Genomic DNA, 27,296 nt, shown 5'->3' on the forward strand with positions numbered 1-27,296 from the left:
AGTCTCCAGCAGCTGTTTCACTCCCCGGCGGGGGGGGGGGGGGCAGGAAAGTCTTTCCCTGGCAGGTTGGGCTCCAGGTGCACAGCACTGCTGGGCTGGCGCAAGCTGAGAATCCACTTCAGGACAAGAATGTCCCAGGGCTTTGCTCATGAGTTGGCCTTTACCTGTTGTCAGGTAAAACTCCCTTCCCAGAGGTTTTTTTTGCTTCTGTTTTTTTTTTTTTTTTTTTTTTGGTTGTTGTTGTTTGTTTTTCTTTTGAGACGGAGTTTTGTTCTTGTTGCCCAGGCTGGAATGCAATGGCACAATCTTGGCTCACCGCAACCTCTGCCTCCCAGGTTCAAGTGATTCTCCTGCCTCAGCCTCCTGAGTAGCTGAGCTTACAGGCGTCGACCACCATGGACGCTAATACGGCTAATTTCTGTATTTTTAGTAGATACGGGGTTTCACCATATTGGCCAGGCTGGTCTCAAACTCCTGACCTCAGCTTCCCAAAGTGCTGGGATTACCAGAGTTCTTTTGTTCTTTTTGTTGTTGTTGTTGGGGGGAAGTGGGGTGGAAGGCAGAATCTCGCTCTGTCGCTCAGACTGGAGTGCAGTGTTGCAATCTCGGCTCACTGCAACCTCCACTTCCTGGGCTCAAGTGATCCAGCTTCAGCCTCCTGAGTAGCTGGGACTACAGGTGCATGCCACCACGCCCAGCTAACTCTTGTGTTTTTGATAGAGACAGAGTCTCCCTATGTTACTCTGGTCTCAAACCCCTGGGCTCAAGCAGTCTGCCCTCCTTGGTCTCCCAAAGTGCTGAGATTACAGGCATGAGCCACCACATCCAGGGTTCTTGAGCCAAGGCTCTTTACACAAAATCACTTCAGTGTTTAAGGAGAGCAAGGAGACTCTCAAGGCTGTCCCCATCTCACATCGTTAAGCACAGAACACTCTGCCCAAAGGTTTGGGTCTTAGGTAGGCTGGTGTCAGCCACCGAAATGCAGGGGACACTCGTGGGCCCTGATTGGAAGTACAAAGTCAGGGAGAGGTAGAGGTCCTACACCTGCCAGGTCCCCCTGGGCAGGCATTGAGCGTCTCAACGGGTTCCAGGTGGTGGAAATGGAGCGGGACAGGGACACCAAGGCAGGTGCAGTGTGGGCGGGGCTGGGTCCTGGGCTTTATCTTTGAGCGTTTGCGGAACTGGGGCAGGGGCTGCCAAGTGCACGGCCCCAGAGTCCTTGCCCAGAGCAGCTGCCTCTGGCTAATTGCTCAGCTGCCAGAGAAGTGACTGGAATAGAGGTTGTAGCTTAGGCACCGCTGCTCCCTCCAGTCCCTCCGTGCAGCCGATGATGGCCCTATGGTCCCTGCTCCATCTCACCTTCCTGGGGTTCAGCATTACCTTGCTGTTGGTCCACGGGCAGGGCTTCCAAGGGACAGCAGCCAGTAGGTGGAGGGCAAGGTCATAAGCTTTGGGACTTGGGCCCTAGGGCACCTGAGTGACCTTGACTTTTCTCTCTCAGTCTGGCCATCCCTCTTCAACGTCAACTTGTCCAAGAAGGTTCAGGAAAGCATCCAGATCCCGAACAATGGGAGTGCGCCCCTGCTCGTGGATGTGCGGGTGTTTGTCTCCAACGTGTTTAATGTGGTAAGTGCCTCTAGGCCAAGGGCCCCAAGTGCTGAGCTGGGCAGGGAACAGGACTCAGCCCTGGATAGTGCTGGGGTCTCCTGCTGCGTTCTTTCAACACAGCGCTCACCCTGAGGTGATGCATTGCCCTTCCCCCAGGACATCCTGCGATACACAATGTCCTCCATGCTGCTGCTTAGGCTGGTGAGCTCCTATGCCTGGGGAGGTGGGATGGGAAAGCCCAGCTGAGTCCAGCTCAGAACTACCAGCCTTCATCAACATGCTGAGCTTAGGGGCATGGATATGTGGAGAGCAGGAGCCTCAGTGGTGCCCTTGTGTCCCCAGTCCTGGCTGGACACTCGCCTGGCCTGGAACACTAGTGCACACCCGCGGCACGCCATCACGCTGCCCTGGGAGTCTCTCTGGACACCAAGGCTCACCATCCTGGAGGCGTAAGTGAGACAGTTCCTGCCCCAGGAATCTGCCATGCATAGCCCTCCTTTTCCCCCATCTACAACCTAGAGGCTGTCTGAGTGAATATGACCCTCCTGGCGGTCCCCGCCGGACTAGCAGTGCACCTTCACTGCCTCGAATTCCCCTCCCACTGCCAGAACTCTGAAAGCAGCTGGGGTTGGGGTTGGGATGCCAGGGTCTCCCCCCGGCCCCGTCCAAGAAGGGGCTGGGGCTCTGGCTGTGGTGCCTTTCCCCACAGGCTCTGGGTGGACTGGAGGGACCAGAGCCCCCAGGCTCGAGTAGACCAGGACGGCCACGTGAAGCTCAACCTGGCCCTCGCCACGGAGACCAACTGCAACTTTGAGCTCCTCCACTTCCCCCGGGACCACAGCAACTGCAGCCTCAGCTTCTACGCTCTCAGCAACACGGGTGCTGACAGGGCAGGGGCTGCAGGGTTGAGGAGGGGAGGAGGAAGGTGGGGGAGGGGAACTCCCAGGTCTGTGGTGCAGGGGCAGGGTGCGGGGCAAGGGGAAGGGGCAAAGGCAGACAGAAGGCGAACTCCCAGGTCTGTGTTCAGAGCAGTCTACCCCAGGCTTAGGCGGGCAGCACCTGCTCTCCCACTGCGCCCCCCACTCGAGTGGCAGCCCATCTCTGTGCTCAGCGGTAGCCTCAGGGCCCCTCTCTAGGGTGACAGACTCAAACATTCGCAGCAGCTCTGCAATCCCAGAGGTCCGAGCACATCAGTCTTCTGTCCTCCCCAGAGCAACTGCCCTCCACAGCCATGGCGACTGCAGTGGCTCGGCCCCTTGCAGCAAGGCCAGAGGCTCAGGTTGCCATGGCCTCACTCCTGGAAACCACCTGAAGGTGCAGCCACCCTGTATAAACCCATCAGGTGACATCTAACTTGGCAGAGAAGTCCTACCCTTCCCTCCATGAGAGACCACAGCGGTAGCCCTGGGGATCCTGCTTCAGCTGTGAGATGATAGACTGACGAGCCTGTGACCACTTCTCCCTCCATCATGAAGTGGTGCAAAGTACATTTATTTTTACAATGAAAGCTCATCTATGAATCTGATAAAGGCCTTCCTTCAACTGGAGACAATTTGGGATGTTGCAAAACAAGGTTTGGGAAGCCCTTCTATGGATCGGTTTTGTGTCCAAGTCTGTCCCTGCCAAAAGCCATCAAAAGTCTCCATCACCCCTGGGCTCCAGTCTGCTACCCCCAGACTTGGCAGCTGGGATCTCTCCTTCCTGGTTCATAGTTCTCATTCCCACCCCTCAGCGATGGAGTTAGAGTTCCAGGCCCACGTGGTGAACGAGATTGTGAGTGTCAAGAGGGAATACGTAGTTTATGATCTGAAGACCCAAGTCCCACCCCAGCAGCTGGTGCCCTGCTTCCAGGTGACGGTGAGTCAAGTCGGGAGGAGGCCGACAGAGGGCTGCTGGAGGCGGGTGGGAGTGAGGATGCACGGCCAGAGGCCAGGCCCCATGCCCCCGATGCCCACCTCCTTCCCCCCCGCCGGGAAGGCCCTGACTTTTCCCCTTCCAGCTGAGGCTGAAGAACACGGCGCTCAAGTCCATCATCGCTCTCTTGGTGCCTGCAGAGGCACTGCTGTTGGCTGACGTGTGCGGGGGGTTGCTGCCCCTCCGGGCCATTGAGCGCATAGGCTACAAGGTGACATTGCTGCTGAGTTACCTCGTCCTCCACTCCTCCCTGGTGCAGGCCCTGCCCAGCTCCTCCTCCTGCAACCCACTGCTCAGTAAGCCCTGCTCCCTTACCCAGTCTGCCCTGTTTCTCCCCGGTCACCCACTGGTGCTCAGCTCGCTGGGCACCAGAGACACAGGGACTGGCCCCTGAGCATCTCCCTGTGCCCTGCCTCCCCCAGTTTACTACTTCACCATCCTGCTGCTGCTGCTCTTCCTCAGCACCATAGAGACTGTGCTGCTGGCTGGGCTGCTGGCCCGGGGCAACCTTGGGGCCAAGAGCGGCCCCAGCCCAGCCCCGAGAGGGGAACAGCGAGAGCACGGCAACCCAGGGCCTCATCCTGCTGAAGGTGGGCAGGGGCTGGGGGGTAAGGAATGAGGCCTAGGTGCACACCTAGGGCTGGGGTGAGGGCACGGAGGTCCAGGTGTGGGTAGAGGCCCCTTGCATCCACCCTGCTGGCTCTCCTGTCCCTGGTCTCCACCATGTCCTCCTCCCTTAGAAGAAACAGGTCTGGGGCAGGGAGCAAGCTGAGCCTCCCTGAAGTCCCAGGTGACCTCAATCCCCTGATAACCCATGCCTTGCACAGCCTAAGAGGGTGTTTCTTCAACTGAAGATGGCCTGAAATGGGCCAGACCCAAATTTTCATCAGCTGAGAATCTAAGAAAGGAAGCGATACAGGCTGATGACCCCTGGGGTTCGCTCTTCCGCTCATGTTGAGGGGACCTTGAAGAACAGCTCCTTTCCCTGTATCTCTCCCCACAGAGCCCTCCAGAGGAGTAAAGGGGTCACAGAGAAGCTGGCCTGAGACTGCTGACCGCATCTTCTTCCTCGTGTATGTGGTTGGGGTGCTGTGCACCCAATTCGTCTTTGCAGGAATCTGGATGTGGGCAGCGTGCAAGTCTGACGCAGCCCCTGGAGAGGCTGCACCCCATGGCAGGCGGCCTAGACTGTAAAGGGGCAGGGCCTGGGCTGCACACCTTAGGATGAAGTTTGCTTTCCCATGGCTGGGGGCGGGCCATGACAGGGCCTCTGGATTAAGCCACCCTGAGCTCTCCCTCCGCTAGCACACAAGCACAGAGCGTGAAATAAACCCATCTCCAGTGCAAGTGTGCCTCAAGGGTCAGTCTTCAATCTCGTCCTAAATAGGTGGGGCCCTATTTTTTGCTTCCAACCCCCATTTTGCTCCTTAACTTTTCCCCATTGTCCCTGTCTCCCAGCCCACAGGCAGGCAGCCTAATTGCTCCTTCTGCAACCACGACTGCCTGGCCCTGGGCCAAGAGGCACTGAGGCTGGGGGCCAGAGACAGGGGCCTGAGGAAGGCTGTAGAGGGTGGGGCGGAACTCCTCCTCCGAACGCCTCCTGCAGTGTGCTGGACTCTAGGGAAAATGGCCAGTGAGCCTGCCTCCCCCAGCCACCTAGGGGACTCCTGGGAGGGAAAGGTCCCAGACCTCAGGCCTGTGGGCGGGCGGGAATGTGTTTTAAGAGAGGGGGTCAGTCCCGACTGCCTTTCCTCCAGGAGCTCTGGCTGCTTCTCTGAGCCCTGCCACATCTCTGGGCTGTAGGGGAGTTCTCTGTCCCCACCTCTGACCTAGGCTGGAGGGAGGGCCCTTCTGCCCTGCTGCTCTTGGTACACATGGAGCAGCAGTGGGCACAGGCCTCTGTCTTCCTTCTCTCTTTTCCTGTTTCAGAAGCCATCAGGGTCATAAAAGCCAAGGTGTGGAGGGACCCCAGGCTTCCGGGAGAGTGCTGGTTCGGCTGGGAACACGGGCTGTGGGGAAAAAGCAGGAGCCAGGACTAGGGGGCTCAGGGACACAGCTCCCGGAGGCGTGGAGACAGGTCTCTGTCCCAGAGGACTTCAAGCTCACCCAGCCCAGAGGCAAGCTAACACTGGTTTATCTGTCCAATGACACGCCAGTCTGGTGGAACCAGGCAGGGCTAGCAGCAGGCTCAGGCAGAGGTGTCGAAAAGGCGATCGATCATGTCGCCCACCTGCTCCACCCCGTACTTGATGTACTTCTCCGGGTTCTTGGTGAAGGGCACGCTGCCAAACCTGAGGAGGCACTGTGGTCAGGGGACAGGGAGGGCCGACCCCTCCCCAGCTCCACCCTCAGCCTAAGGCACTCCTGATAGTCTTGGAAGGGGTGGCCCTGAGCGATTCCCTGTCTGGCCCCGCCCCAAAGCCCAGGTCGCTGGATCTGCTGCCTAAATCCACCACCCTTCTCCTTTTTCCCTTGAGGAAGAGGAGCTTGAAGAGGCCCACTGGGGCTGTGGGCAGCACAGGCTGGGAGGGGAATGGAGGCCTCACTTCTGTAGAAAGGCCCCGTAGGTCTCCTTGACAATGGTCTTCTGGGCCTGGCGAATCCTGTCCCTCTGCTCTGTGTCTGGAATAGCCCAGGCCTTCTGGATTTTGCACAGTTCTTCGAGGCCATCATTGAAGCCCTGGCCACCAAAAAGGTGAAAAAGGAAGGCACCCAGAGACAAACATTTTGGGTCTGTGTTGCCTCAACAGCAGCAGCAAGCAGTGGAGGGGAGAGGACCCCGACTCACCTTAAAACGCTCCTTGATAATCTGCCGCTCCTTGTCCCGGAGCTGGGAAGCCAGGAGAGATAGCAGAGAAAGCTCACTTCAGAGCAGAGCAGCCTTCCCCCACTCTTCCCCAAACACCCTTGGTCTGGGCCTGTCTCCTGTGTCCTGATGGCCACATGCATCCTTTGCTCTCTGATCCCAGAGGGATGCTTGTCCACTTTTTCCCAGAGACACGACAAAAAGTATCCCGTCTGCCAGACACCCCTTCCCAGCCCAGGTCTTGAGCCCACCTTGACTCCCGGCTGGAACACAGGTAGATTCTTCTCTGCGATGTAATCAGTCACCTTTAACCAGCTGCCAGACAGAAAGAGAAGCATGAGGGCAGAGGGTGGCCTGCCTCAGTGGCCTGGCTTGTTTCGTTTGCTAAATCTCTGGATCTACTTGGTGGGTGGTGGTAGGAAGGGATGTGGGTCACAACTAAGCAAACAACAGGTTTTCTTCCTGGGAAGAGAAAATCTTTAAACTGGTCACTTTTTGAGATAACATTAGGAAACACTTGAGTGTTCAATAAATTGGACAAATACTGTCAACTATACTTCACATCAATATCGTGGCAAACTAAGATGGAGAAACAGATGAGAAAGAAAGGAGTGGAGGGCAGATAAATGAGAAGGAAGAGGTAGACACATTCAAAGGGAAGAAACAAAGCCAGGAAGAAAGAGGACCAGAGAAGCAGCGGGATCCTCACAGAGCAAGGCTCAGCCACGTTCAAGTGCTCTCGCGACCTTGCTCTTCTCCTAGGTAAACATTACCCACGTCTCTGAGAGCCAGCTCTTCAATCATTCTTAGCCTTGACACTTGGCAGACTCCCCTCTAAAGTGGCCATAGTGGGCCCCTAGGAGCAGGTAGTGGTAGAGGAGGGGGCTTCTCTCTCCACCCCGTGAGTTTGATTAGAAACCAAGTGGAGGATTAGGGTCCAGAGGACAGGAGTTCCCCGTGACCGACTCTGTGTCCTGAGGTGCTGAGAAGGAAGAGTGCGTGGTGGCACAGGGGCCCATGCAGGAGCAGGGCGGGCCCAGCCTCTCACCTGCGCTGGTAGGTCTGGATCTGCTGCTCAATGTGCTCCCGGTAGGAGCGCTCAGCAGTCTTCTGTGTCACTGCCACCAGCTGGATCAGTTCAGACCTGGGTCGGGGTAGGGGACAGAGGAGAGGAGGACAGGATTGGCTCCTCAGGCCCAAAGGCTGCGGCAATGCCGGGAGGGCCTCCCATTGCACCCCAAACTCCACAAGCTCTATGGCATCCCACCTTCCGGGTCCTGGGGTGGAGGAGACTGAAGCACCCCCTCCCCTCTCGTCCACAAGAGAAGGAGCCCAGGGGGGCAGGGGCTGGCACAGCTGCACAGCCGAGGGGAAGGTGAGAGCCGCAGACTCACTCCCGCAGGCCACTTACTTCTCCAGGGACTTGAGGATGTAATTGTAGTTGTTGTGCAGGAAGATGGCGCTCAGAGCTGGGTCCTCGTACACCTTGGACTTGCTCAGCAAGTTCAACTGCAGGTTGCCCAGCACTTTACCTGCACAGGGAAAAATGGGGCCACACCCACCATGGCAGTCTGACCCAAACGACCCCACCCCAGGACCCGCGAACGCGCTCCTATCCATCGCTCCTCGTCCTGCCTCAGGAGGCCTTAGCCCAACTCCCCTCAGCCTCTGAACTAGAGGTCAGGTTGTGGTTCCAAAGATCAGATGGCACTTAGGAGAGGGCCCTGGGAATAGCCAGAGAGCACAGACAGAAGGAAGGGAAAGGCAGGGCATGCAGGCAGCAGGGCTGCTGGTCTGCCCGGGAGAACACTCACAGATATAGGTGCTTAGCAGCCGCTTGCTGAACTCAGAGCTGTAGCTGGTGGCCGAAGAGCTGGTCTCTGTGAGAGGAGAAGTCCTGTTATTGCAGTGGCAGCAGCCAAGACCCTCAACGGCCCTTCCCCCAGGCCATGCAGCAGTCTGAGGGGACACTGAGACAGGCCCTGGGCTTCCTTGGGCAGAGCTGGCTGCCTGCTAAGCCACAGGGTGGCCCCTGCCGCAGGAAGCACCAGCCCTGGAGTTTTTGGAACCCAGAGCTGCCCTCTATGATGGGATGGAGCTGGCCCATGTCAGCAGAAAAGCTGGCAGGAAAAGAGTGAGATGCCAGCGCCCTGTCCCCTCCTGCCCCCACCCACCCTGGGTGGTTTCTACAAGGCCCCCTTTTTCCTTTTGTCAACAGCAGAGTCTTAGAATGGGCTCCCCACAGCCTCTCCACCTTCTCCCCTACATTCGAACATCCCCTCTACCAGACCCTACTGAACAGACGAAGCTGCGGCCTGCACAGTGGGGAAGGCCGAGTGGGGACAGCAAGGCAGGGAGGCCGGGCGAGCCTAGGGGGTGTATCCAGGGCTCTAGCCTGGGCAGGTGCTGCGGATAAGCTCAGAGACAGAGTGGCCTTGAAGGGAGCAGAGAGAGTTGAGAGCACCCCGAGAAAACTCATGTCCCCTCTGACTCAGGCTCCCCAGTAGGTACTGAGAGTCAGTCCCCAGGGAACCTCACCCACCAAGCTTCAGAGGGACAGGAGGGGGCTGCAGAACCGCACTGCTTACCTCGGGGGTCTAAAGGAATATTGTATGTGTCCCCAAGAACTACGGAGTGAAAGGCAGTGCACACAGAGGGGACAGAGGGAGAGACAAAGGAGGGAGAAAGATGCAAAGTGCAAAAAACAGGTTAGAAACGGCATGTCAACCCGAATTAAGCAGACCTCTCCCCACGACAGCCAAAACACAGATAGCAAGACACAGCAGGCGGGACCCTCTGAGGACCAGGGAACACCCTGGAAAGTAGAGAGCTGAGAACTGCAGGCTGGAGGCTGCCCACAGGCTCCTTGCCCCCAAAATGGGACGGGAGGAGAGGGCCCAGGGACCTCAGTGCTTGGAATGACCCAGAAAGGTGCTCTTGCTTACAGGCCAACCCCCTGAGCTCCAGTCCCAGGGCAGGGCCAGCAGGAAGACGCCCAGCGGGCCCTGAGACACTTGCTACCCTCTGAAGGCCAGCTGAGCGAGCCTGATTAGGAGAGCAGGCAGACACGAGAGAAGGATTTGGGAGGGGGGCAGGGGCAGAAAGGACACCTTCCAACCAACCAGCACCGCTCCCAGAGTGAGGACACTGCTTCCAGGGCGAGGACGGTCAAAGGGGCTGAGGGAGGGGCCAGAGGTCCAGTGTCTGGTCTTGAAAGGTGCAGGCAAACCTTGCTCTCCTGATGCTCAGCCCCAGGGACCCTCTGCTGAGCACACCTCAACCCCTCCACAGACTGGAGATACCTCCTCACTGCTACCTGCCCTCTAACCCCATGTCTCCAGGCAAGGAGGCGAGTGGGGCAGGGGGCCCAACTGGGAGGTACCAGTACCTTGGGAGGCCAGCATGGCGCCTGCCGTCTCCTGGAAGTCCAAAAGCTGCTGCAGGAAGAGGATGGCCTGGGTGGGAAGAAAACGGTGCAGAAGGGCAAGTGGCAGGCCCGGCCGACGGCCTCCCACAGCGACCCCTCTGAGTGCCCAGGGCCAGCCCAGGGCTGGGATCCGCCCAGTGAAGAGCGCGGCTGGAAACTTCATTTTCACTCTAGCCTGCCAGGAAAGGCCCTGTCTGCTAGAGACACTAAACATGTCACTGTCCATCCTGCCACCCAGGACTGCTCACAAAGGTGCGAGCGGCTCTGGGCCAGGCTGAGTCCCTTCCACCAGTACTCTGCCTGGCCCTGGGCCTGGGCCTGGGCCCTCCTTCCTCCCCTCTCCCTGGTGTCCTCAGGCAGCACCCACATTGCTGGTGAGCTCGTGTACGGTGCCGTCCTTCGGCATGTTGTACTCCTTGTCCGGGTCATTCTGTGGAAAAACAGCCTCTGGTTCCCTGAAGCAGCCCCCAGCCCACCCCATGCCCCAGTGCACCTGCTCATGGTGCCGCCTCCTGGCAGACGGGTGCTAGGACACCTCTCAGGCACAAAGGCTGAGCCAGGCTGGACCAAGGGGGAGAGGCCCTTCCCACTTCAGAGGGCTTGGAGGCCCCAGGAAGGAAAGGAAGGCACATGGGTGCTGACAGGCCAGTGGCGCAGCTGGCTGCCCCGGGACAACGCACCCTCTTGGAGGCCTGCTCTGAGAGTCCCCCAGGGCCAGGTCACTGTGGTGCTGGGCCGGGAGGGAGGGAGAAAGGGGAGGACAGCAGGGACCTTGATGTTGTCTGCGAAGTCCTCCAGCGCTTTGGCACCGATGGTCTCCATGGATGTGATGAGGCCAGGCAGCTTGTTCTTTGTGCTGGCAGCCGTGCCCTGAGGAAGCACAGGGGAGCCCCCAGCTCACCTCCAGTCGCTCTGTGAGCATCTCACTCACCCAGGGCCCTTCCTAAGCTGCTTCCATGCACCTTCAGAGCAGAAGTGTGGGACAGAGAATGGGGTTCTCCCAGGGAGGGATGGGGCGGCCACACCCGGCAGCACGATGCCTCCTGGCTGTGTTTTTGAGGGCCCCTCGCCCACATACCTGGAGCACCTGGTCAAACTCAGGCTTGGTCTGCTTGAGGTGTCGCAGGATGGGGAAGACGGTGAGCACCGTGGAGAAGTCGTGTCGCACAATGGCCTTCCGGGCAGCAGACACGATGTTCTCCCCTTCAAGCATCAGCCCATCCAGGGCATCCTGAGGGGGCAGGGAGACAGTTCAGGGAAGGGTGGGGCGGTGGGAGCTAGTTCTGGGCTAGTGGGGGATCCTTGCAGTATGTAGGGGGGCCAGTGTGCAGGAAGAGGGGTGACGGGGAGGTGGTGAGCGTCCACCCAGGACCGGTCCCCAGGGCACGAGGTGGTGGTGGTGGGTGGAGTTGAGGGCTGCAAGAGTCTGTTGTGACAGCTCTTGCTGGGGCTGGCTGCAGAGCCCCCGGGGCGGGGCGGGACCTGTATCAGGGAGTCGAAGGTCTTCTTCTGGTGGTGCTCGGGGATGATGTCGGCCAGCAGCTGGTACTCGCTCTGCGCCAGCTTGACGAAGGCACTGACGCAGTGGATGTAGGCATCGGTCTCCACGTCCAGCATGTCATCTCTCCCTGGGGGATGGCACAACTCTTGAGCTGCTGGTCTGGGGCCAGCCACACTCCTGGCTGGGGGCGGCGTGGGTCCCCCAGCTCCTGGCCTGTACCCCACACTGGCAGAGGATGGGGAAGAGGCTGACTGTTCTGGCAGAAAGCTGCAAGGGAGCCAGCAGGCCCCGCCAGGTTCGAGGGGAATAAAAGGAGCTGAGCCCAGCCTTTGTTCTGGCTTCATTCTCGGCTCTGCGCAGACAGTGGGATCAGACACCAGAGGCAGGAGAGTGACGGATGGAAAGATAAGGAGGGAAGATTCCTGAATCAGCGTCCTGGATAAGGTGGTTTGACCCCAGGACTGAGCATTCTGAGTTGTACCTGAAAGAGGGCAGCCCAGGGTGGGCAGGTGGCTGTGCCACCTCAAGGAGGCTGGCACTGGGGTCATCCATGTGGGCAAATGCGGGGCCTGTGAAGGAAGTGACCAGCCCAGTCAGGGCTTCTGGAACATCTAAGAGGGTGGTTGGCTGCAGCTTCTGAGGCTGGCTGGCATGGGGTCAAAATCTAAGAGGCTGGTAAGTCCCAGAGAGGAGGGGTTGCCAGCTGCCCCAGGAGGAGGCCAGACCCTATTACTGGAGGCCACGGCGGGGGCGCCTGCAGGCAAAACCGGCGGCAGAACTGCCTGGTCCTATGTGCCAAGGGATGGGCTCCGAGGGGATCAGAGCTCTGAATTGTTGCAGGAGGCGGACGTCAGGGCTCCCTGCCCTCAAGGGAGCCACCTTCCCTCTCTGCCTGCTTTCCGAGGAGCAGCGGCTTCTCCCCTTGGCCCAGGCCTGACAGACAGGCACGCACTCCCATCTGGAGAGAGGCAAGGAGACCTAGGCCCAAAAGAGAGAGAGTGGAGAGAGAGGCGCATAGGCCTGGCCCATCCTCAGAGCAGAGTGGGCCCAGCTGGGCCAGGCAGGAGCAGGCCATCCGGGGACCGCTGCGAAGGCAGTGTCAGCGGCTGCCCTCGGGCTGGGCTGCGGTACTCACCGGCCAGCGGCCCGTGCTTGTCGTTCAAGGCCTCGGACAGGTGCTTAACTCGGAAATCATGCTCGTGACCTGGCGAGATGTCGGCCGCACAAACACAAGCAGCGTTTATCCAGGGGCCAGGCAGGCCGCCCCTTGGGGTACAGGGAAGAAGCCCTTCATCTCCAGGAGGGGGACGTCAGATGGGGATGGGGAAGGGGGCATCGGAGAGGGCCCTGAGCCCCTCCTCTACCTCAAGCCACCTTGGGAACAGCCGTTTCAAGCCTGACTTCAGTGAGCACCCAGGACCGTCCTTAGCTGCTCATTTCCCCGAGCCTGGAGGCCCAGGGAAAGCGGAGAAGGACCAAGGAGGGGCTGAAGAGCTGATGCTTGGCCCCAGGGGGGTTCCCCACCTCGCTGTATTTGGGGAAAGCCCCAGTTTGCCTGTCCTCTGCTGCACACACTCCCCTTTCTAAAGATGGGAAGGCCGGGAGGCCTCGGCCAGCTGGGGCCTGCCACTGCTGGTCTGAGCGTGAAAGGGCTGCCCCAAGACAAATAACTTTTTCTGAGTTCACACAGGAGACAAGGACAGAGACAGGGAAGGGAGGAGGGAAGCCTCAGGGAGGGCAGAGCTGCCATCAGCCAGAGAGGACCAGGCCGAGGGCTGCGAAACTGTCCCTGTGCCCGCTGAAGCCCGAGTGGCATCGGGGACCTGCCGTTCCCACCCTGCTCCCCTCAGGGTTTCTCCCGAGGCCCTCCTGGGGGAGGCTCTGCCCTGCCAAGTGCGTGGACACACAGTGGAGGAGGAAGGGACAGGAGGGGAACACAGGGTGATTACCTTCCAGAGGAATGAGGTTAGAGCCCCCCTTTTTCCCATCTAGACCATGCTGGGAATACTGTTTCAGAAGGTTCTGAGCCTTACGGATCGTCCCTGTCACCAGAGCCACACAGAGAGGAGATAAGAAGACCTAGGAAATGAGTGAGAGAAAACAGCAGCGGCCCTCCACCTGCCCCCCAGGCCCCGCACCCAGCTCCCCAACAGTGAGCAGGCCTTTCCCTGAGACCACCAGAGACGCTGGGGACAAGGATGAAGGAAAGGAGTCATTTCCTTCTCCAAATGGAGCCTTGATTCTACTACCGACCCTCCTTGTTCTGGATTTCAGCTCATTTCTGAAAGGACAGAGGGTAATGAAGATGGACCAAGATCCACCAGGAGAAGTCAAAAATATGGAGTGGCATCATAATCAGAACAGGCGAGGGCTCAGGTCGGAGGAGCCCGTGACAAAGCTCGCATACCCAGAGGGCACAACCAGGGTGGGAGAGCCTGGGGGGCACCCTGAAGCCAGCAGGCCCCCAGCCCAGCCCCAAACTCCAGGCAGAGTTCTCCGAGCATGCTCAGTGTTGGGACGTACGCCAAACAGCAGCCAGCAGGAAGCCACCCTGACTGAACTTCCGGGGGAGCGCTGTGCCCAAGGCGGACGGCTCAGAGACCCAGAGGCAGCCTAGCCCCACACCAGAGTTCCCCAAACCACCAAAGCGACAAGAAAAAATCCAAAAGTCAAGAAGGGGTTAACAGAAGCCACCACACAGAGCGCCTGGAGGGTGTGCACGGAAGGAGAGGGCACATGCTCTTGGCATGGGGGAGAAAAACAATAGTTAGTATCACAAGTGAAAACAATGAGAACAAAATGGCAGCACCCACAGCCGCCTGGGTCAGCCTCCTTTGTGGGAATGAGACATCTCGGGCCAGAAGACGTCGGGAAATCAACTCGCATCTCAAGCAGACAAGTGCAGCTGCCTTGTTAACAAAATGTATAGGGGCAGAAAGGCACCCGGGATGCCTCCCACCCCCACAGTCTATCTGAGCACAGTGAGGCTGCTGTGTCCTGGCAGCTCCCCAGAAAGCTGAGGGAGAAAGGGGCAGTGTCTGGAGGCTCACTGCTTACACCTGCACCGCACCGCACCGCACAACACCACAATTAGCTTGTTTTTTTTTTTTTTTTTTTTTTTGAGACAGTCTCACTCTGTCGCCCAGGCTGGAGTACGGTGGCACGACCTCGGCTCACTGCAACCTCTGCCTCCTGGGTTCAAGTGATTCTCCTGCCTCAGCCTCCCAGGTAGCTGGGATTATAGGCGTGCGTCACCACACCCAACTAATTTTTTTTCTATTTTTAGTAGAGACAGGGTTTCACCATGTTGGCCAGGCTGGTCTCGAACTCCTGACCTCAGGTGATCCGCCCGCCTCGGCCTCCCGAAGTGCTAGGATTACAGGCGTGAGCCACCATACTTGGCCCATAATTAGCTCCTAATAACCAAGGCCTGGCTCACGTCTCCCTTGCTCATGCTCTCCCCTTCAGCGAGTGCGGCTTACTAATGAGTGAATCTGATTCCTGCCCCACAACCCACCAGGAGCAGACACAGACGCAGGTGCACGCCGGCAGGATGTGGGTCGCCGATGTGGATCTAGCAGCCGCCAAACCCGTCAGGCTCCCAATTGCCTCCAGGGATGCTGAGGTCGGTGCTTCACCACCTGGGAGGCCTCCCTGTCCCTCTCCTCAGAAGTGGGAACCGACATCCCCAGAGCCTGACTCCCTAGAGCCTGACATCGGTCCTGAGCCCACCAGTTCCTGACAACTCTGAAACCCCACAGCTGGAGTTTTCCTCTAGTGTCTCTGGCCCAAGGATGGATGTGGTCCACTGTGAGCCACCTGAGATCAGATCCCTCCTGCCTGAAAGGCCAGGTAGCTGCATGGCCAGCGGGCACTCTTAAGGCAGTGCAAATAGGGCTCTGGGGCTTCTGGGGGACCTGTCAGGGAGCCAGGCAGAAGAGGAAGCAAGCACAGACTGGCTGGGGCCCAAGCATCCTAGCAGCCTCATAGAGACAGCCACTCCCCACCACACAGAAGGCACAGAGCTGCTCCATCCACTGTGCAGGCAGCTGCGCCCACAGGCTGGGCTGGCAGTCCCCATTTGCAGCAGGTTTTGGCTGGTGGGCAGGATTTCCACACTGGAGGGAGAAGGCCCCAGGCACCAGCTCCCTAATGCTCTACTCCCTGAGGGCAGCCCCTGCTCTGCCTGTTTCTCCAAACCCTAAACAAAGGCCTGCAGGGGAGCGGGTGCTCTTGTGGAACAGACACCTCACTCTCTGAGGGGCATGAGCAGGCAGGGACTGGAGAAACCAAGGGTGTAAGTAAGCTCTACCCAAAGCTTGTTGTCATAAGCAGGTGCCACAGGCCACAACTAGGGCATGTGCCCACAGCAGCAGCTGGACAGGGGGCCAGCCTGGGTGGGAGCAGCCCCGGCTTCTCCAGCTTTCTTTTTCAGTGCAATCTCAGCAGCCCCACCCCAGAACATCCCAGCACATCATCGAGCTGCGGGCAGCATCTCTCAGTGGCCAGACATAGCCGGGCTTGCCAAGCTGTGGCTGGCAGAGACACTGTTTACCTGGAGCACAGACTATAAGGGATATGATGCCGGGGAGAAAGAACAGACAGATGACGAGATGTTCACCCAGGACAGCAACACCCACCGGCCCCGGCCTCTCATCATGGTGCCCCTTTCCACAAGTCACTCGCTCGCACTGGAGCCCAAAGCCAGTTTAAGTTCTTCCGAGAGGATGCTCTGGGGTTTCTTTCCTTTCTGGATCAACTGGGAAAGTGAAATTCTCCCCATCCAGCTCTCAGCTACACGTCACTTCAGATCACCCTGCCTTTCTGGAAGGTGAAGGTTGGAGCACCTATCCCCTTGCTATCCCAGCATCCTGGCTGCAGTAGTGTGCCTGGCCTTCTGACAGGGCGACGTGTGTGTGAGGGAGGAGGCCTAGGCAGGGGCTCTGCCTCAGGCGGGATTCGCTGAGCACCTGTGTTACTCCCCTACTCCAAAGAAGCTGTGTAACCCCAGGCTCTGCTAGCTGGAAGGAAGAGTCTTGCTCTTGGGGGGCTTCACTGGGTGGGTAGACACTTGCTTTCTGTCCTGTGTACCTACAGTCGGGGTTACCACGACGACAAGCTCTGGAGGGGCCTGACGCTGCGAACGCTAGATTGGACTAAAGCAGTACAGTCCCAGTCAGCCTCTGGCTGTTGCAGAGATGGGCCAGGATGGGGGCTCACCTGGCCGCTTGACTGGCTTCTTGGTAGGTGTGTCTTTCCTCTTGTTGGGGATAGCAGGGGAGTAGGGAACCCCAGAGGAAGAACTGCTCTTATGGAAATGCTCCTTCAGTCCTTTGATGGAGCGGTCCAGCTGGCTGGAGCGTATCTGGTAGTAGACGTTCATGAAATCTGAGGAGACACAGAGGGATAGAGGTACGGCTGCCAGGCCCTGTCTCTGCCTTGCAGACCCACCATGTCTACCTGTCAAACCTGTCAACCCTTCTTAGCATCTGCTCCCTGCTCTGGTCACAAGCCACCCATATCTTGTCCCAAATCAGGCAAAGTCTTTCAAAGTCTTTTTTTTTTTTTTTGAGATAGGGTCTTGCTCTGTTGCCCAGGCTGCAGTGCAGTGGCACGATGTCAGCTCACTGCAGGCTCGACCTCCTGGGCTCAAGTAATCTGACCACTTCAGCCTCCCAGAGTGCTGGGATTACAGGCGTGAGTCACCATGCCTGGCCAGGCAGTCTTAAAAGAGAAAAACACCCTCTGATAGAACTGATAATTAGTTGTAAGTTGTTTTTTTTTTGAGACAAGGTCTTACTCTGTCGCCCAGGCTGGAGTGCAGTGGTGTGATCTTGGCTCACCGCAAACTCTGCCTCCCAGGCTCAACCAATTATCTTGCCTCAGACTCTTGAATAGCTGGGATTACAGGCATGAGCCACTACCACCCAGCTAATTTTTGTATTTTTAGTAGAGATGGGGTTTCACCATGTTGGCCAGGCTGGTTTTGAACTCCTGACCTCAAATGATTCACCAGCTTCAGCCTCCCAAAGTGCTGGGATTACAGGCATGAGCCACCGCCCAGCCCTAGTTGTAAGCTTTTTTTTTTTTTTGAGACAGAGTTTCATTCTTGTCATCCAGGCTGGAATACAATGGCACGATCTTGGCTCACTGCAACCTCTGCCTCCCGGGTTAAAGTGATTCTCCCGCCTCAGCCTCCCAAGTAGCTGGGATTACAGGCATGAGCCATGGCGCCCAGCCCTAGTTGTAAGTTTTAAATAGTACTTTTTTTTAAATAAAAAAACAAAGTTAATATCCAGATTCAACTTGGTAAGGGGTCAAAGAACATGAGCTCTATAGGAAGCAAAAAGACAACAAATGTCAGTGAATGAAAAACACACATCTTTAGCCATTAATAAAGTATAAATTAAAAAAATTAGAGGACTGTGATAGTCCTATCAGATAGCAAAAACAAAAATTAATGAAGAACAAATGGCCATGGAACTGTCGATGAGTCCATCGATTGGCCTGATCTATTTAGAGAGGAGCTAGTGATGGCAAGAAGGTTACAAGTATCTTCAGACACTTACACCTAATCCCTGCACCCTTGAGAATAAACCCTCAAGAACTTCCTCAAAGAAAAAAGCAATTCACAAAGGTATGTCCATTTTGGTACCATTCATCAATGCTGAAAAACAGGAAGAGCTCCTTGCACACATGACTGAGGAAAAGGACATGAAAACTATGGTGGATTTCAGAAGTTCCCAACAAATAGTTTACAAGGAACCCCGACAGAAGAAATGAACCAAAACACAGAGGCACAGGCTGAGAGGTCTGGAGGCTGTCCACTGCGCCTCCCTCTTGATCCTAAGGAGCTCCTGAAAATCTTCTGCCGAGCTGTCATCAGCTCACGAGCCACAACGTGTTCATGTGATCAGATACATCGCGGCCGTGAGACCTGCCGCCACACAGTTCTGGGGCAAGGCAAGCCCGCGCTGACAACTTGGTATGTGTACACACAAACAAAGAGAAGAGTTGGAGGGCTAAAAAGTGCAACATTGCCAGGCGAGGTGGCTCATGCCTGCAATCCCAGAACTTACAGAGGCCGAGGCAGGTGGATCACCTGAGGTCAGGAGTTCAAAACCAGCCTGGGCAACATGGTGAAACCCTGTCCCTACCAAAAAATACAAAAATTAGCTGGGCATGGTGGCGGGCACCTGTAACCCCAGCTACTTGGGAGGCTGAGGCAGAATTGCTTGAACCCAGGAGGCAGAGGTTGCGGTGAGCCAATATCATGCCACTGCACTCCAGCGTGGGTGACAGAGCGAGACTCTGTCTCAAAAAAAAAAAAAAAAAAAAAAGTGCAACACTGAATATCTATTGGAGTTTTTCTTTCTTCCTTTCTTTTTTTTGAGATGGAGTTTTGCTCTTGTTGCCCAGGCTGGAGCGCAATAGTGCACTCTCACTGTAACCTCTCGGGTTCAAGAGATTCTCTTGCCTCAGCCTCAGTAATAGCTGGGATTACAGGCATGCGCCACCACGCCCAGCTAATTTTGTATTTTTAGTAGAGATGGGGTTTCTCTATGTTGGTCAGGCTGGTCTTGAACTTCTGACCTCAGGTGATCCGCCCACCTTGGCCCCCCAAAGTGCTGGGATTACAGGCATGAGCCACTGCACCTGGCCTTCTTTCTTTTGAGACAAGAGTCTCACTTTGTCAACCAGGCTGGAGTACAGTGGCGTGATCTTAGCTCATTGCAACCTCCACCTCCCAGGCTCAAGTCATTCCCCGCCACCTCAGCCTCCCAAGTAGCTGGCTCTGCAGGCATGCGTCACCACACCCAGCTAATTTTTTTATTTTTTGTAGAGACAGGGTTTTGCCATGTTGGCCAGGTCTCGAACTCCTGAGCTGAAGCGATCCACTCACCTCAGCCTCCCAAACTGTTAGGATTACAGGCATAGCCACAGCACCTGGCATAAATAAACCTTAATAGTGCTCATCTTTGGCTTATGTAATGGAGGCATCAGGGAATGGGAGATGGACTTTTACTTTTCACCCATGGCTTTGAAAATTTTACAACTAATCAAAAAAGGCAAAGGAACATAAAAATCAAGACAAGAAAAGTTTGAATTTGCCTAGATTCACCACTTGATATACAAGTCATAGAATGGTTGCTTATATTCTTATATTGGTTCCAGTTAAACATCCTTTTATCAAAAAAACCATGACAGGTGGATTAAAGAATAAAGGGGGCCAGGCATGGTGGCTCACATCTGTAATCCCAGCACTTTGGGAGGCTGAGGTGGGCAGATCACCTGAGGTCAGAAGTTCAAGACCAGCCTGGCCAACATGGTGAAACCCCATCTCTACTAACAATACAAAACTTAGCCAGGCATGGTGGCATGCGCCAGTAATCCCAGCTACTCGGGAGGCTGAGGCAGGAGAATCGCTGGAACCCGGGTATGCAGAGGCTGCAGCAAGCCGAGTTGCACCATTGCACTCCAGCATGGGCAACAGAGCAAGACTCCATCTCAAAAAAAAAAAAAAAAAAAAAAAAAAAAGAACAAAGGGGAGAAAACTCCCTCTGCCTCTGGTGTGTCATGTGGCCAAGCCAGAATCCCTTACCTTGGTTGCGGCCATATTCCACCAGCCAGCGGGAGATGCGAATGACATCCTGGAGCACGCTCTCGGGCAGGTGCTCCAGGGTCACGTCCTCCTGGGCCTCCAGATCATCGTCACCACTGATCAGATCCAAGATGAGCACGGGCGAGACGACCTTACTGTGCCGCGTCATCAGGCTGCGAAATTCGGACTCCAGGGCCTCCTTCCCGCGCTCAAAGAGCAGTTTCTGCACAGACAACAGAAGGAAGCAGGTGCCTGCTGCTTCAGTGTTCTGCCAGTCCTGGCCTTCCCCTGCCTGTGCCAGCTCTGTCTTCTTAACTCAGGGCCTCTGCCCTTTTCTGCCCTGATATCTTTTTTTTTTTTGAGAGGGAGTCTCGCTCTGTCACCAGGCTGGAGTGCAGTGACACAATCTTGGCTCACTGCAACCTCCGACTTCCTGGTTCAAGCAATTCTCCTGCCTCAGCCTCCTGAGCAGCTGGGATTACAGGCACGTGCCACCATGCCCAGATAATTTTTGTATTTTTAGTAGAGACGGGGTTTCACCATGTTGGCAGGATGGTCTTGATCTCCTGACCTCAGGTGATCCACCCGCCTCAGCCTCCCAAAGTGCTGGGATTACAGGCATGAGCCACTGCACCTGGCCTGCCCTGATATCCTTTAACCCAAAGAAGAAACGCTGGGAAGCGGCCTTGGTGACTCCTTTACTTCATGTTCTCTCAAAATTTGTGTTTACAGGTAAAACCCAGGGTTTTACAAGAAGTAGGTGCTTAATAAATACTGGCTGATTGGCCGTGCACGGTGGCTCACGCCTGTAATCCCAGCACTTTGGGAGGCCGAGGCGGGCAGATCACAAGGTCAGGAGATCGAGACCATCCTGGCTAACAAGGTGAAACTCCATCTCTACTAAAAATACAAAAAAAAAAATTAGCCGGGCGTGGTGGTGGGCACCTGTAGTCCCAGCTACTCGGGAGGCTGAGGCAGGAGAAAGGTGTGAACCCAGGAGGCGGAGCTTGCAGTGAGCCAAGATTGCGTCACTGCACTCCAGCCTGGGTAACAGAGTGAGACTCCGTCTCAAAAAAAAAAAAAAAAAAATACTGGCCGATTATTTTCTCACTGAACCGTTAATTTGTCTTCTTGTTAGTGGGGGGTTTGCAAAAGAAAATAAATAAATAAATTGAACAATATCAAGTTGAAAACTTTTGTGCTGCAAATGATACCACCAACAAAGTGAGGATAACCCACAGAATGAGAGAAAATATTTGTAAACTATGTATCTGATAAAAGACAGGTATCCCAAACATAAAAGAGAATGAATCTGTCCACACGATGACATATATAAGAGGGTTTATAGCAGCATTATTCACAAGAGACAAAAATTGGAAACAACCCAAGTGTCCATCAAAGGATAAATGGCTAAAGAAAATGTGGTCTGGCTGGGCACGGTGGCTTACGCCTGTAATCCCAGCACTTTGGGAGGCCGAGGCAAGCAGATCACCTGAGGTCAGGAGTTCAAGACCAGCCTGGCCAACATGGTGAAACCCCGTTTCTACTAAAAATACAAAAAATTAGCTCGGTGTGGTGGCAGGCACCTATAATCCCAGCTACTCGGGAGGCTGGGACAGGAGAATCGCTTGAACCCAGGAGGTGGAGGTTGCAGTGAGCCAAGATTGCGCCATTGTACTCCAGCCCGGGCAACAAGAGCATAACTCCGTCTCAAAAAACAAAACAAAACAAAAAACCAAAAAAAGAAACTGTGGTCTATCCACAAAAAGGAATATCATATGGCATGAAAATGAAATGAAGTACTGATACATGCTATAGCATGGATTGATCTTGAAAGCATCACGCTAAGTGAAAGAGGCCAGTCACAAAAGGCCATGTATTATAAGATACCATTTATATTAGAAATTCAGAATAGGCAAATCCATAAAGACAGAAAATAGATTTGTGATTTCCAGAGGCCAAGTCACCATCTTGCTCTGATGATCTAATGACCCCAAAACTTAAACACAAAAATATGATGAAGGCAGGTACAGTGGGTAATGCCCGTAATCCCTCCCAACACTTTGAGAGGCCAAGGTGGGAGGATCACCTGAGGACAGTAGTTTGAGACCAGCCTGAACAACACAGGAGACCTCATCTCTACAAAAAATTTAAAACTTAGCTGGGTATGGTTGCACATGCCTGTGGGCCCAGCTACTTGGAAGGCTGAGGTGGGAAGACTGCCTGAGCCCAGGAGTTCGAGGCTGCAGTAGCTATGGTTGTACCACTGCAGTCTGGCCTAGATGACAAAGCCAGATCCTGTCTCTTAAGATAATAATGCAAAAAAAAAAATCACATAGATTCAAGTTCCTAGAGTAGATTCACAGAAACAGAAAGTGGAATGGTGGTTACCAGAAGACAGAGGAAGGGAGAATGGGAAATTAGTGTTTGATGGGAGTGGAGTTTCACTTGGAGAAGATGAACATATTTGTGGAGATAATGGTGATGGCTACATAACATTGTGAATCTACTTAATGCCACTGTTAACTTAGAGTTAAAATAGCACATTTTGGCCAGGCACGGTGGCTCACACCTGTAATCCCAGCACCTTGGGAGCTGAGGCGGGCGGATCACCTGAGGTCAGAAGTTTGTGACCAAACTGGCTAACATGGTGAAATCCCGTTTCTACTAAAACTACAAAAAAAAAAAAAAATTAGCCGAGAGTGGTGGCGCACACCCTCCCAGCTACTCAGGAGGCTGAGGCAGGGGAATCACTTGAACCTCGGAGGCAGAGGTTGCAGTGAGCCGAGATCGTGCCATTGCACTCCAGCTTGGGAAACAAGAGCAAAACTCCATCTCAAAAAAAAAAAAAATTTATATTATGTATTTTTAACCAAAATAAAGGAACAACAAATGCATTTATAAAAATCAAACGTGGCTGGGTGCAATGGCTCACGCCTGTAATCCCAGGCCAAGGCGGGGGATCATCTGAGGTCAGGAGTTCGAGACCAGTCTGGCCAACATGGCGAAACCCCGTCTCTACTAAAAATACAAAAATTAGCCAGGTGCGGTGGCGAGTGCCTGTAATCCCAGCTACTTGGGAGGCTGAGGTGGGAGAATCACATGGACCTGGGAGGCAGAGGTTGCAGTGAGCTGAGCACTGTACTCCAGCTTGGGTGACAGAGCAAGACTCTGTCTCAGGAAAAAACAACAACAACAACAACAACAACAACAAATCAAATGTTAAGTTTATATTTTATATGTAATTTATAATTTAATTTTTATAATACATTAACAAGTTTTATAATAAAGAATTTTTAATAATAAAAAATGTGCAATTCTTGAAGCAGAGATCCTAATGCCTATAGGATGTACTGTGCTATATCCTTCTGTGTATTCTACTGCATACATCCTCAAGCTGGCTCCATGTCCCTCATGAGACCAGGGCAGAGACTGATATCCCCAAGCTTCTCACGTTATTCTGCGGACCCCTTACCACTTTGTTGAGTTCCGGGCTGTCTGGGCTGTTGTCCTGGAAATACTCCACTGCCTTCTGAATCTTGGCCATGCTTCCCAGGTACTCTTCCAGCCTACCTGTGGGGCTGGGAAAGAAAAGAGCCAGGTCAGGCTGGGGCATGGGGGATGAAGAAGGACTAAGGACACAGTATTTGGGAAAAAGAAAATTAATACAGGGGACTCCAGGCTCAAATATATTCTATCCCCCCACTGCCTTTTAAGGCCTAGGGCTTAAAAGGCGTCTCACTGTGTTGTCCAGACTGGTCTTGAACTCCTAGTCTCAAGCGATCCTCCCACCTCAGCCTCCCAAATTGTTGGGATTACAGACCAACCCTCCTGTTGGCCCAGGAGGCATTAGGAATTGACCCTCTGGGCCTCACTCACTCACCCCTCTCTGATGATCTTCTCAGTGTCACTGGCCACATGGTAGTAGCTGATGACATGGTCCAGGCAGGACAGCGTCTTCTCAACATTCTCCTGCAGCCGCTGCAGATTCTCCGTCTGCTTGTGCACAGGGATGATGGAGTTCTCCAGCTTCATAAGGCGGCTCTCAAAGGATGATAAGATAGACACCTGCGGGAGGGAAGCCTCTTGATCTTGGGACTCACAGTGGTCCCAGCACTGCTTCTACACACCCACCTTCGGCATTTCCTGCCTTTTCTCTGGTTTTCTAGACAATAAACTCCACAAGCGAAGGAACAGGGTGTACCTGTTCCCCACTGTATCTTCAGCACCTATCATGTGCCTGGCATATAGTAGGTGGTCTAAGACAAATTGGTTGAAATTTTATTTGAAGGCAAACCAAGCATCAAATTAATTCTTCTTAAAATAATCAGCCCAAGATGGCTTCCCTTCCACCCTTTGAAGCCAAATCTCAACTTCTGTTCTCTCTGAAGCATTCCTAAACCGGACTGGAAGTAGTTTCATACAGAGTAGCCTCAAATGCATTGCTGTATCTTCAAAACCCTCTCTAAGGATGAAACTCATTGAATAAGGACTAGAGGCTGGGCGTGATGGTTCATGCCTGTAATACCCAGAATTTGGGAGGCTGAGGCGGGAGGTTAGCTTGAGACTAGGAGTTCAAGACAAGCCTGGACAACACAGTGAGACCCTGTCTACACACACAGACACACACACACACACACACACACACACACACACACACAATTAGCAAGGCGTGGTGGTGTGTGCCTACAGTCCCAGCTGCTAGGAGGCCGAGGCAGGAGGACTGCCTGAGCCCAGGAGTTAGAGACTGCAGTGAGCTACAGTCATGCCACTGCACTCTAGCCTGCACAACACAGCCAGACTCTGCCTCTAAAAAAAAAAATTTAAAAATTAAAATTTTTAGAAAAGGACTAGGACTTTATTATTGTGTGACTAAATGCAAATACAAGTTTGTATTTACTCACTTTGTGCTTTTCCAGTCTCCCCTAGGAATAAAGAAGGAAACTCACTTATTGAGCACCTATTGTATACCAGGCACTGTGCAAGATGCAGTCGCATGCATTAGCGCATATGACCTTCACAGACACACTGGGAGGCTGGCACAGTCTCTGTTTTAGCAGATGAATTCGCTGACACCAGTTACCTATCAGGAGCCGCACATTTAAGCAGAAGGGCAAGGACTAGATCCCAGATCTGCCTGACTTTAGAGCTCTTTCTTTCCCTAAAGTCCTCTGGAGTGAAGGCTGAGTCTTCTCTGCCCTCAGGAATCTCAAAGTGCCAACCTCCTGGGCAGAGAGTCCACTGACAATGACATATGCCCAGTACCTAGCCCAACTGGTCAGACTCACTGAGTGTTTGCAGAAGGAGAGAAGGAAGAATGGCGAGCTTAGACAGAAAGCAGCAAGTCCAGGCCAGTGGGAAGTGCAGCCTCCTCAGTGAGGGTACGGAACATGGGGAGGGGGCTAGGCAGGAGAGATGCCAAACTGTTGCTAGATAAACCCACACACTGCCTCCGTCGCTGCCCATTCCAGAACTCCAGGCCGCAGGAACCGGAACCGCCAGGTCGCAAGGCTCTCCCCCAGGGTCCGGAGGCCTGCCCTCTCCCCCAGCTGCGGGGAGACTCACCATGTTCTTAGTGAGCTGGTCGCTCTTCTCCAGGCTGTCTCGGATGAAGGACAGAGTCTCCTCCTCCTGGGGGCAGGCAAGGGGAGGACATCACCAGAAACCAGAAGCTAAAGGAGACCACTGCGTCCCAACCCCACGGCCTAGCCCCCAACCCCATCTCCTCGCTGGGTGCGCTCCCTCCCACCCCTGCCTCCTCCATGAGTAGACAATCAGGCCCCGCTGTTGGCCCCTTTCCCTCACCTCCTCCCCAGCCTCCCCAGGCCCACGCCCACCTGCTTCAGCTTGTCCTCAATCTCCCGCCGTCGAGCGGATGCCTCCTGTGGGGGAATCATCGCTCTGAACCCCGCGGCTCCCACTCCCCAGTATCTTTCCTCCGCGGGCCCACCGGGCCCCCGTCCCCGTCACACCCACTTCCGCTCTTGGTCCCGCCCCGGGACGCCTGGGCGGAGCCATGTTGGGAATCGCAGGCTGAAGTGCGCCTGCGCGGAGCCCAAGAACGGACCGACGGCCATTTTGAGCGTGGCTGGGAAGAGAAGTGTATTCGGATGCTGCAAGGGACCTCGACGCGGGTTCCTTGCCTCAGCAGAGGTTTTCGATCGGCCTTATGTCCCGCGGCTGGCAGGACACTTAGAGCTCACTTGCTGTTTTCGTTGAAAGACCGACCCTTTTGATAAAGACTGCTGGGGAAGGCGACGAATTCCTTTCCCCAGGTCGCATTCTATGGGCAGGCACCAAGGCCAATTGCGTTTCCCACAAAGCCCCGCACGGAGCAGGTGACACAGTAGATGCCTAACGTGTGTCCATGTAATGAACCAGGGGCTTGTGTACTTGTTTCCGCCTTCCACCCTGCATTACGCAAAAACGTATCCTGTGGGCTGGCGGGGCTGCTCCGGAGCTCCAGGCCCAGACCCAGCGTCCAACTGCAGCTCCAGGGGACGGGGTGGGGGGCGCCCCTGGATCAACTTCCCTGCGGGGCTGGATGTTGTGGTTGCAGACCCAGCTCCTGCAAAACCTCGAGTTACTCCTTCCTCTAACCCGTCCCTGCCCACCCTGCCTCTGGCCCCCAGCCTTGAGAAAGGACAAGGCCGACCAGCTTGGTTCAGTCCTTCTGTGGCCTCAGTGTCCAGACACCCGGAAGATAGACAAGGAGGCATGTGCTGGTAGATGAGAAGGTTTGGGGCGGGCAGGGGGGACACCAAGCTTTTTTTTTCCTTTCTTTTCTTTTGAGAGAGAGTCTCACTCTGTCGCCCAGGCTGGAGTGCAAGTGGCACGATCTTGGCTCATTGCAGTCTCTGCCTCCCGGGTTCAAGTGATTCTCGTGCCTCAGCGTCCCGAGTAGCTGGGATTACAGGCGGCTGCCAACACGCCCGGCTAATTTTTTTGTATTATTAGTAGAGACAGGGTTTCGCCATGTTGCCCAGGCTAGTCTCGAACTCCTGACCTCAAGTGATCCACCCGCCTTGGCCTTCCAAAGTCCTGAGATTACAGGCGTGAGCCCCTGCTCCCGGCCTAAGGAGAGAAGGAGAGAAGGAAGAACCCAAGCTCTAGGGTTCCCAAGCGCTCACTCCACCCATAGTCACCCGAAGAGGAGGAGGAGGAGGAAGTGGGTGCACAGAGCCTGGAGAGGGATGGGCAGCCTTCCCTCAGGCAAGAGGACAATTTCAATCCTGTTGTAGGTGGGGGAGATAAAAGGCTGATTCCTGTGTCAGGAAATACCCAGGATGATTTCGCTGACATGGTCCTTGTGTAGTCCAAAGGGCTAAGTAGGAGAAAGTTTAAACTGTTAGATGTCACAGAATAGAGTAGCGGGGCTAGTTAGCCGCTGTAGAGAGGGTGTTTTGGGCTCAGGTGGACTACCTTTGAGGGCCTGGTC

The 27,296-nt window shown here is 55.0% G+C and overlaps 2 protein-coding genes and 1 non-coding gene across 15 annotated transcripts, besides 4 other annotated features; 1 reads left to right on the top strand and 2 right to left on the bottom strand.

Moving 5' to 3' along the window:
- Positions 1,079-2,076: an enhancer, noted in NCBI's record as "H3K4me1 hESC enhancer chr17:74075097-74076094 (GRCh37/hg19 assembly coordinates)". NCBI's record gives its function as "activates a minimal SCP1, AML or CMV promoter by ChIP-STARR-seq in naive H9 embryonic stem cells {active_cell/tissue: H9 hESC(naive)}" and the evidence as "EXISTENCE:reporter gene assay evidence [ECO:0000049][PMID:30033119]".
- On the top strand, positions 1,245-4,869 carry ZACN (zinc activated ion channel). Its single transcript, NM_180990.4, has 9 exons — positions 1,245-1,424; positions 1,502-1,626; positions 1,765-1,809; positions 1,951-2,057; positions 2,318-2,487; positions 3,341-3,465; positions 3,608-3,818; positions 3,945-4,112; positions 4,526-4,869. The coding sequence occupies exons 1-9, from the start codon at positions 1,328-1,330 to the stop codon at positions 4,714-4,716; spliced, it is 1,239 nt and encodes a 412-aa protein (NP_851321.2). The 5' UTR covers positions 1,245-1,327; the 3' UTR covers positions 4,717-4,869.
- Positions 1,908-1,957: an enhancer, noted in NCBI's record as "active region_12791". NCBI's record gives its function as "activates an Ori minimal core promoter by ATAC-STARR-seq in GM12878 lymphoblastoid cells {active_cell/tissue: GM12878}" and the evidence as "EXISTENCE:reporter gene assay evidence [ECO:0000049][PMID:35858748]".
- Positions 2,077-3,072: an enhancer, noted in NCBI's record as "H3K4me1 hESC enhancer chr17:74076095-74077090 (GRCh37/hg19 assembly coordinates)". NCBI's record gives its function as "activates a minimal SCP1, AML or CMV promoter by ChIP-STARR-seq in naive H9 embryonic stem cells {active_cell/tissue: H9 hESC(naive)}" and the evidence as "EXISTENCE:reporter gene assay evidence [ECO:0000049][PMID:30033119]".
- On the bottom strand, positions 3,079-25,850 carry EXOC7 (exocyst complex component 7). Of its 13 annotated transcripts, NM_001375976.1 has the most exons (21): positions 25,696-25,850; positions 25,424-25,489; positions 23,742-23,926; positions 23,334-23,439; positions 19,859-20,081; positions 16,477-16,644; positions 13,206-13,298; positions 12,392-12,460; positions 11,238-11,383; positions 10,834-10,986; positions 10,527-10,625; positions 10,123-10,185; positions 9,717-9,783; positions 8,917-8,955; positions 8,143-8,208; positions 7,740-7,860; positions 7,377-7,472; positions 6,580-6,643; positions 6,311-6,352; positions 6,069-6,202; positions 3,079-5,813 (listed from the first exon to the last, which is right to left on the bottom strand). In NM_001375976.1, exons 1-21 carry the CDS (start codon positions 25,753-25,755, stop codon positions 5,711-5,713), a joined length of 2,163 nt encoding a protein of 720 aa, NP_001362905.1. In that variant the 5' UTR covers positions 25,756-25,850; the 3' UTR covers positions 3,079-5,710. The 13 variants fall into 13 exon arrangements, with proteins under 13 accessions (NP_001362905.1, XP_006721851.1, NP_001362903.1 ...); XM_006721788.5 differs by lacking the exon at positions 13,206-13,298; NM_001375974.1 differs by lacking the exon at positions 12,392-12,460.
- Positions 3,157-3,357: a silencer, noted in NCBI's record as "peak3003 fragment used in MPRA reporter construct". NCBI's record gives its function as "represses an SCP1 promoter by STARR-seq MPRAs in K562 erythroleukemia cells {active_cell/tissue: K562}" and the evidence as "EXISTENCE:reporter gene assay evidence [ECO:0000049][PMID:32103011]".
- Positions 20,082-20,139, bottom strand: MIR6868 (microRNA 6868). The gene has a single exon (NR_106928.1). It is a non-coding gene; the product is annotated as a microRNA 6868 (primary transcript).

Source organism: Homo sapiens, chromosome 17 (assembly GCF_000001405.40).
Source record: "Homo sapiens chromosome 17, GRCh38.p14 Primary Assembly".
NCBI lineage: Eukaryota > Metazoa > Chordata > Mammalia > Primates > Hominidae > Homo > Homo sapiens.